Raw genomic sequence first — 10412 nt, forward strand, 5'->3', positions numbered from 1 at the left:
AGATGTGAATTGGTCTTGGTTCAGTTGCTAAACCTTGCCAGCAAGAATTCAGGCCTCACATCTCCCCTCCCTTGGCAGGCTGGCTTTTGTTCTCCTGGCCACGAATTGCCTGCCTCGGCTCTGGGCATTAAGCCTTCATTCGGGACGGGAAGAAATGGGAGAGGGAGGAAGGGGCAATACCAGCTGGGTCTTTTTTTTTTTTTTTTTTTAACATTCTCGTTCTCTTTTAAGACTTTATTTATTTAAGTGGCTTTAGATTTTTTTTTCTTAGATTCACAACAAAATTGAGTGGAAGATACAGAGATTTCTCATACACCTCCTACCCACCCCTCCACACCCACCGTCTCTCCATTATCAACATCCCTGAATCAAGTGGTGTATCTGTTACAACTGATGGATCTGTATTGACACATCACAGTCACCCCAAGTTCACAGTTTACATTAGGGCTCACTCTTGGTGTTGTACATTCTGTGGGTTTGGATACTCCTGTGATGACATGCATTCGCTGTTATAGTCTCATAGTCTTATACAGAGTAGTTTCACTGCCCTAAAAATCCTCTTCAATACTTCACCTATTCATCACTCCCTTCCCCCAACCCCTGGCAACCACTGATCTTTTCACTGTCTCCATAGTTTTGCCTTTTCCAGAATGTCGTATAATGGGAATCATATAGTAGGCAGCCTTTTCTGATTGTTTTTTTCTTCATTTAGTAATATGCATATTGTAATATGCAATACATATCAAGCCATGTATTTCTATGGCTTAGTAACTCATTTCTTGTTTGTTTGTTTTTATTTTTTGAGATGAAGTCTCACTCTCGTTGCCCAGGCTGGAGTGCAATGGCACAATCTTGGCTCACTGCAACCTCTGCCTCCCGAGTTCAAGCAATTCTCCTGCCTCAGCCTCCAAGTAGCTGGGACTACAGGCACACACTGCCACATCCAGCTAATTTTTTTGTATTTTAGTAGAGACGGGATTTCACTATGTTGCCCAGGCTGGTTGTGAACTCCTGAGCTCAAGCAATCCGCCTGACTCAGACTCCCAAAGTGCTGGGATTACAGGCGTTAGCCACCGCACCTGGCCAATAACGCATTTCTTTTGAGCACTAAATAATATTCCATTGTCTAGATGTACCATAGTTTATTCAATTATCTACTGAAGGACATCTTAGTTGCTTCCACGTTTTGACAATTATGAATAAAGCTGATGTAAACATCTGTGTGCAGGTTTTTTTATGGACATAAGTTTTCAGTTCTTTCGGGTAAATACCAAGCAGTGAGATTGTAAGAGTGTGTTTAGTTTTGTTAGAAACTGCCAAACTGTGTTCCAAAATAACTGTACCACTTTGTATTCCCACCAGCAATGAATGGGAGTGTCTGTTGCTCCACATCCTCACCTGTGTTTGGTGTCATCAGTGTTCCTGATTTTACTCATTCTAATAGGTGTATTGTGTCAGTCTTTTTTAAATCAGGAAAGCCAAAACTTTCCCAGAATCCCATCCAAATCCCCACCCCAGCAGCCTTCCACTTGGCCAGAACTATGTCACTACGACCATCCCTAGCTGAAAGAGAGATGGGAAAATGAGTATTTAGTTTTGTAACCTCTCTGGGAGAGGGAGACAAGCGAGAAAGGGGGAAGAGCCCCTAGGGCAACACTGTCCAGTGGAAATAGAGCCACATACATAATTTTCAATGTCCTAGTAGCCACATTTTTTAAAAGGTAAAAAAAGAAACCTAGGTGAATCAATGTTTAAATATTTATTTTATCTAACCCAATATATCCAAAATCATTTCAGCATGTAATCAATATAAAAATTATTTAAGAGATATTTTACACTCTTTTTTAAAATAACGTTTTCAGGCCGGGTGCAGTGGCTCATGCCTGTAATTTCAGCACTTTGGGAGGCTGAAGGGGGCGGATCACCTGAGAAGTCAGGAGTTTGAGACCAGCCTGATCAACATGGTGAAACCGTGTCTCTACTAAAAATACAAAAATTAGCCGAGCATGGTGGCAGGCATCTGTAATCCCAGCTACTTGGGAGGCTGAGGCAGGAGAGTTGCTTGAACCCGGGAGGCAGAGGTTGTAGTGAGCTGAGGTTGTGCCATTGCACTCCAGGCTGGGCAACAGAGCAAGACTCCATCTCAAATAAATAAATAAAGCTTTCAAAATATGATGCATATTTTGCACATACAGCACATCTCAGTTTGGACCAGGTACATTTCGAGTGCTCAGTAGCCACATGTGACTAATGGCTGCCATATTAGACAGCACAGGGGTAGACGGCATGTTGGGTGAGCAAGCCCATTCTTGCCACGCCCCTTTTGCTGCTGCTAGTATTCTCTGTAATTATTTCCTTTTCATTCTCCCAACTGATTTTAGAAAATGCCATCCTGTCTTAGCCTGCTGAAGAGAAAGAAGAAAGGGGGTTGTGGGTTGTATTTGGGCTAAAGTAATAATTAGGGAGACAGGAGCATCCTGGGGCCAGGCAAAGTAAGAGCAGTGGAATTGAAACTTTCAGAGCCCCAGGGGACTGGTGAAGGATGGATGGGAGGAAAGGGACAGCAAGAGGTAGGCCAATTGCTGTTGTGAGGAAGAGTAAAATTCTTAAGTCAAAATCAAAATAAAGGCTGGGTGTGGTGGCTCATGCCTGTAATCCTAGCACTTTGGGAGGCACAGGTGGGAGGATCACTTGAGCCCAGGAGTTTGAATCCAGCCTGGGCAAAAAAGTGAGATCCCCATCTCTACAAAAAAGTAAAAATTAGCCGGGCATTGTAGCACACACTTGTAGTCTCAGCTACTCAGGAGGCTAAGGCTAGAGGATTGCTTGAGCCTAGGAGGTTGAGGCTGCAGTGAGCCATGATCAAGCCACTGCACTCTAGCCTGGACAACAGAGTGAGACCTTGTCTCAGAAAAGAAAAAACAACAACAACAAAAAGAAAACTGTGTTGTTCTCTGATTACAGAAGTGAAACTTTTATAAAATATGAGGAAAACAAAAGCACTGAATAAATCTCTTTCTAATGTTAGTGATAGTCACTGTTAATAGCATATTAATTGTATATTTTATTTTATTAATTTTGTTTATACTTGTATATGCATACATGTATATGTAACACCTGTTTTTTTTTTTTTACTTTAAAATATATTATGAACCTTTCCCCGTGTCATTAAGTCCTTTTTTTTTTTGGGGGGGACAGGGTCTCACTCTGTCACTCAGGCTGGAGTGTAGTGGGACAATTACAGCTCACTGCAGCCTTGACCTCCCAGGCTCAAGTGATTCTCCCACCTCAGCCTCCCAAATAGCTGGGTCTACAGGCATGTGCCACCATACACAGATAATTTTTGTATTTCTTGTAGAGATAGGGTTTCACCATGTTGCCCAGGCTGGTCTTGAACTCCTGGGCTCAAGAAATCCTGCCTTGGCCTCCCAAAGTGCTGGGATTACAGGCATGAGGCACTGTGCCCTGCCTTTAAGTATTCTTTTAAAATAGGATTTTTAATTAGGTGATTGGATGGGATTTCATCCTATGAGTATACTGTAATTTAATTCAACCAGTCCTCTTTTGTCGGACATTAAGGTTTAATCAAGATTTGTCTGTGATAGGCAATGTTGCTATAAAATCTGTAATCAATCTTAGTGCACATTTCTGATTTGCTGGTTGAGGGGGTATAAATATTTTAGGGCAATTTATGCATATTTTCATCTTCTTTCTTTCTTTTTTTTTTTTTTGAGATGGAGTCTCACTCTGTTGCCCAGTCAACAGAATGAGTGTAGTGGCGTGATCTCCACTCACTGCAACCTCCGCCTCCCAGGTTCAAGCAATTCTCCTGTCTAAGCCTCCTGAGTAGCTGAGACTACAGTTGTGTACCACCACACCCAGCTAATTTTTGTATTTTTAGTAGAGTCGGGGTTTCACCATGTTGGCCAAGCTTGTCTCAAACTCCTGACTTCAGGTGATCTGCCCACCTCGGCCTCCCAAAGTGCTGGGATTACAGGCATGAGCCACCATGCCCGGCCCATATTGTCATCTTCTTGAAACTGTACTAATTGGAACTACCTAACAACACTGTAGGAAACATTTTTCTCATTTTATAAGAAAAAACTTTCTAACAACCAAAGAAAGAATGGGAGGCAGCAAGCTTTCTGTCATGAGGCCTGTTGGAGTATGGGCTATAGCCATGGTGTCGATTCTTTTTCCCTCACTGACACTGAGCATTAGTTACAATGGCCCATAAAGGGGAAAGTTGCCTTCTCTTGCCCTTAGTTGGACATTACAGAGCTAGATTGTTTGGTGGAGGCAATAACTTAAGAAATAAATAACTGCATTGGGATCAGCATTGGGCTAATGACCTTTAAGGTTTCCTCCAGGACCTTAAGGACCTACGTATGATACTTATACCTATGAAGTTTCTGTCCTGTTTCTAACATAGCCTGTACTATGCTTGTCTGTGCTCTCAGCAGGTAGGGACATGGTGAGCTCCTCAAGGGATTTTCCCAAAGTACGAATCTCTTTGAGGTAGACAAGTTTCTCCCAGAGGATGAAAAGCATGTCGTAAAATGAGCATCATGTTGTTCAGCTCTTTTCTATCACTGCTGATCTTCCATCTAGTCATTTTATTAGTTGCTGTATTAGTCTGTTCTCGTATTGCTATAAAGAACTACCTGAGACTGGGTGATTTATGAAGAAGAGAGGTTTAGTTGACTCTCAGTTCCCAGGCTTGGCAGGAAGCATGACTGGGAGGCCTCAGGAAACTACAATAAGGGCAGAAGGCGAAGGGGAAGTAGGCACAATCTTCACGTGGTGGAGCAGGAGAGACTGAGAGAGCAAAGGGGGAAGTGCCATCAGATGTCATGAGAACTCACTCACTATCATGAGAACAGCAAGGGGGAAATCACCCCATGATTCAGTCACCTCCCACCAGCCCCCTCCTCAATTAGACATGAGATTTGGTGGGGGGGACACAAATCCAAACCACATCAGTTGCTTAGAGGGGGATGTTGGAGTCCCCAACTGTAATGTGGGTTTATCTATTTCTCCTTTCAACTCTTATCATTTTTTGCTTTTGCTTTTGCTGTTGTTCGGTGCATGCACATTTAGAATTGTTATGTCTTTCTGGTAAATTGATTCTTTTATCATTATGTAATGTTCCTCTTTGTCTCTAGTAAATTTCTTTGCTTTGAATCTACCTTATCAGATATAAATGTAGCTACTCCTGATTTTTTAAAATTAATATGATATTCTTTTACTTTCATCCTACCTATGTTATTGAATTTCAAATGAGTCTCTTATAAGCAGCATGTATTTGGATCTTTTTTAAATTCACTCTGCCAGTTTCTGTCTTTTGATTGTTGTATCTAGACAAGTTACACTTAAGATAATTACTGATATTAGCTAATATTACTGATATTGCTAATTGCTGATAAATTACTGATATTACTAATTACCTCTTAGGTGTGCAATTTTATTGTTTTCTGTTTTTTCCCTCTAGTTCTTATTCCTCTGTTTCTCTCTCTTGTCTTTCTTTGGGTTTCTTGAACATCTTTTAGAAATTCATCTTGATTTATTTACAAGACTTTCAAGTGTATCTCTTTGTATAATTCTTTTAAAGGTTGCTGTCAGTATTACACTATACATATGTGACTTAACCATTTTGAGTGAAGTGTGGAAATCTTACTTTGATTTAGGTCTATTTACCTTCCATGATTTTAAATATAATTTGCATGAGTATCAGATAGGGTTTTATTTTTTGCTAGAATAGGTGAATATGACTTGTAAAATTCATGATGAGAATAGTCTATTGTATGTACACATATTTCTAATTGTTTCCACTGCACTTTCTTCCTTCTTGATGCTCCAAGATTCCTTTTTTTATAATTTCCTTTTTATTTAAAGAACTTTCTTTAGCCAATCTTTAAGGATTTAACTGCTAGTGTCAAATTCTTTTAGCTTTCCTTTGTCTGAGAATGGTTTTATTTCCCCTTTATTCATGAAGGATAATTTTGCCAGATATAGAATTCATGACTGACAGTTCTTTTCTTTCAGCACTTGAACAATGTTGTGCCACTTCCAGCTGGCCTCCATGGTTTCAGATGAGAAATCTGCTGTCATTCATATTGGGTTCCCCTATAAGTGGTGCATAGTTCTTCCCTGGCTGCTTTTAGCATGTTTTGTTTGTCTCCAGTCGTCAGAAGTTCAATTATCATGTGTTGTGGTATGGATTTCTTTGGGTTTCTCTTTGGGGTTTGCTCAGCTTTTGAATCTGTAGATTTGTGTCTGCCAAATTTGGAAAGTTTTCATCCATTATTTATTCAAATACTATTTTAGGCCCTTTATTCTCCTCTCCTTCTGGCACTTCAGTGATACAAATGTTGGCTTTTTTGTTATAGTCTTACAAGCCTTGGAAGCTCCGTTCATTCTTTTTTCAGTCCATTTTCTGTATTCTCACATTGGTTAAATTCGTTGGTCTGTCCTAAAGTTCACTGATTCTATTCTGTCATCTCCCCTCTAATATTGAGATTATCTGTTGAGATTTCTGTTTCTGTTACTATATTTTTAGTTCTGTAATTTTCATTGGTTCTTTTTTATAACTTCTATTTATTGCTGAGATTTTCTATTTTTTGTTTTAAGAGAATTGGTAATTGATTTTTAAAACATTTTTATGACAACTGCTTTAAAGTCCTCTCAGATAATTCTGACATTTAATTCACCTTGGTTGGGATCAGTTGATTGGTTGTTCTTTCTCATCCAAGTTGTGATTTTTCTGGTTCTTGGTATAACAGATGATTTTTAAAATTGTATCTCAGACATTTTGTCTGTTAGGATATTCAGGGTCCCATTTAAATATTTTATTTTAGTAGGCACTCACTGTGTTTACATTTAGCACACAGGTCCTGGCCACTTTCGTGGACTGTGGTTTACATGACAGTTTCATTTTCAGAGGCTTTACAATGTTATTTGGGTCTGTTTGGTGTATTTGGCACTGCTGGGGCTCTCACAGGTCTTTGCTGGTGCTGCTTAAGGGGGCAGAAGGACTTTCCCCGGACCAGGGCCACTAGATTTCTCTCCACTGATGAGTGGAGTCTCAGGTCTGTGGAGACAAAGAGGCTTCTTAGGCCATGCCCTTTTGGCAGAATCAATTTTTCTTTTTTCTTTTTCTTTTTTTTTTTTTGAGATGGAGTCTCACTCTATTGCCCAGGCTGGAGTACAGTGGCACGAACTTGGCTCACTGCAACCTCCACCTCCCGGGTTCAAGTGATTCTCCTGCCTCAGCCTCCCAAGTATCTGGGACTACAGGCGCCCACCACCACGCCTGGCTAATTTTTGTATTTTTAGTAGAGACAGGGTTTCACCATATTGGCCAGGCTGGTCTTGAACTCCTGACCTTGTGATCTGCCTGCCTTGGCCTCCCAAAGTGCTGGGATTACAGGCATGAGCCACTGCACCCGGCCGGCAGAATTTCTTTTATTGGTGCCACGGGCTACCTCCTATGTCCCTGGGTTGGGGGAATGGAGTTTCAGGCCTATGAGGATAGAGAGCCTTCCTGGACTGGGCTGGGCTGGGCTGCTTGTTATGGCTGAGTTCCTCCCACCAGTGCCACCCCACTACCCTAGTATCTCTTTGTGAGGTATGGAAGTCTCAGGCCCAGCAGGGAAGAAGAGCACTTCCCTTGGCTGCCTTTTTTCAGTTTTTTTGAAGCAGAACTCCCTCTCTATACCTTGTGTGAGTACTGCCAGGCTCACCTGGTGTTGTTGGAAGGGCTCTTGTTAAATCTGAGGGAGGAATGAGCCCACTGAGCTGCTTTCTGTTGCTAGGTTGGGGATCAGTAATGCTGGGCCCACGCTGCCTTCTGTTTGGTGGGAGGACAAAACACAAGAAATCTTCAGTTACTTTTATAACACTGCCCTGGCCTCCTCCCCCTTCCTTGCTTCTCTGGCCCCTTGTACAGTAATTGCTTGTTGAGTGACCCTCATGGTTGACTTGATGTTGTGCCTGGCACTTTGTCTGTACCTGAAGCACTCTAAAATTGTACCATTACAATGACTTGGGGGAGCCAAGCCCTACTTGTCTTTTCAGAACACATATCTTATGCTTGTGTTGTGTTGCATTCAGTCAAAAGCCTGTATTTGATGGCTAGGCAGGTCTCACTTAAAAGAATAACAAGAAAGCAGAAAAGAAAAAAAAAAAAGAATTGAAAGCTCTTCTTCATTGTTCCATAGGTTCAGAAAAGCACAAAAACTCTGGGCAGCTCTCTAGTGGGATTTTCTTTTCCTCCCTAGTGTGAATATTCTTAAGAGCCAGGAGGCTTAACAAACTCTGGGTTCTTATGGGAGCAAATATGGGTATATCAGACAACATTTTCACAATTCCCAGCCATCTTTTTTTTTTTTTTACATATTTTTATCTCAAGTAAAAGGTCTTGTTGTCCATTATCAATACAGAGCTTCCTTCCTTTAAAATATTCATCTCTAAGGGTAGGCTTTTGGTTTTGATTTTGTTAAGGAAAGGGCTGTGGCATGCCCTCTGCCCACATGACCTTCCTCATCTGCCTGAGACGTCATCCTTCAGGTCCAGCCAACATTTTCCTCCTCCTTTGAAGCCTTCCCTAACTGCTCCTGCCCAGCGTCCTCACCCTCCTCTGAAGTCCTAACTGCTCTATCTGAACCATGTAATTTTATACTGTTTTGCTATCTCTCCTGCAAGGGCATTTGAACTCTTTTTTTCCCTTTTTTTTTTTTTTTTTTTGAGACAAGGTCTTGCTCTGTCACCCAGACTAGAGTGCAGTAGCACAATCATGGCTCACTGCAGCCTTGACCTCCTGGGCTCAAGCGACCTTCCTGCCTCAGCCTCCTGTGTAGCTGAGATTACAGGCATATGCCACCACTGCCTATATAATTTTTTTTTTTCATAGATATGAGGATCTCACTTTGTTGCCCAGGCTTGTCTCTCATTCCTAGGCTCAAGCAATCTTCTCGAAGTGCTGGGATCACAGGCGTGAGCCACCACACCCAACCTCATTTAACCCTTGCTTAGTGTTTTAGTTAATTCCATTTAGAATAAAACCCAAAATCTTTTCATGCTTTACAAGGACCTTTATAATCCTGCTACCTTCCAAACTCCCTACTCCTCCCTTCCTCCCTCCCTTGGCCTCAGCCACACTGCCCGTTCCGGTCCTTCAGATGCCAAACACACTTCTGAATCCCTAGTAGCTAGAACACTCAATGAATGTCTATTGAATTAATTAATTAATTTAAATAAAGTTTATTATCTCGCCATAAAAAATGAAGTCTGTGCTTATTTTAGAATTTCGGGAAATATAAAAATGTAGCTTTAAAAAGCCCTATAGGTTGGGTGTGGGGGCTTACGCCTGTAATCCCATCACTTTGGGAGGCCAAGGCAGGTGGATCACCTGAGGTCAGGAGTTTGAGACCAGCCTGGCCAACATAGTGAAACCCTGTCTCTACTAAAAACACAAAAATTAGCTGGGTGTGGTGGTACACGCCTGTAATCCCAGCTACTTAGGAGGCTGAGACAGGATAATCGTTTGAACCTGGGAAGCAGAGAGGCTGCAGTGAGCCAAGATTATGCCATTGCACTCCAGCGGGGGCAACAAAGCAAGACTTCATCTCAAAAAAAATAAAAAGTAAAAAGCCCTATATAATTCCACATTTGAGAGGCAAAACATAATTTATACCTTTTAAGAAATATTTCTTTCCAGTCGTTTTATTATTTATGGCATTTTGGTTGGTTTGTTTTAATATGGTGTGTTCACAATGTATTTTATGCAGAATTTGACCTTTTTATGTGTGTATGCCTTGTTTTTCCTGTTATGTTTATTTATTTATACTGCTCGTTATTCAAAAATAATTTGAGGCCCTATTGTCAGAGGCATTTGAACCAGAATGACTCCATCTTGAATCGGGGCTGGGTAAAATAAGGTTGAGCCCTATTGAGCCGCATTCCCAGGAAGTTAGGCATTCTAAATCACGGAATGAGATAGGAGGTTGGCACAAGATACAGGTGACAAAGACCTTGCTGATACAACAAGTTGCAGTAAAAAAGCCAGCCAAAACCCACTGAAACCAAGATGGCCACAAAAGTGACCTCCAGTCATTCTTATTCTCCGTTCTATGCTAATTATAATGCATTAGCATGCTAAAAGACACGCCCACCTGCACCATGATAGTTTACAAATGCTATGGCAACATCAGGAAGTTATCCTATATGGTCTAAAAAGGGGGAGGAGCCCTCAGTTCTGGGAATTGCCCACCCCTTTCCTGGAAAATTCATGAATAATCCACCCTTTGTTTTGCATATGATCCATAAATAACTATAAGCAGTCGAGCAGCCCACGCTGCTGCCCTGCGTATGGAGTAGCCATTGTTTATTCCTTCACTTTCTTAATAAACTTG

Source organism: Homo sapiens, chromosome 20 (genome assembly GCF_000001405.40).
Source record: "Homo sapiens chromosome 20, GRCh38.p14 Primary Assembly".
Lineage (NCBI taxonomy): Eukaryota > Metazoa > Chordata > Mammalia > Primates > Hominidae > Homo > Homo sapiens.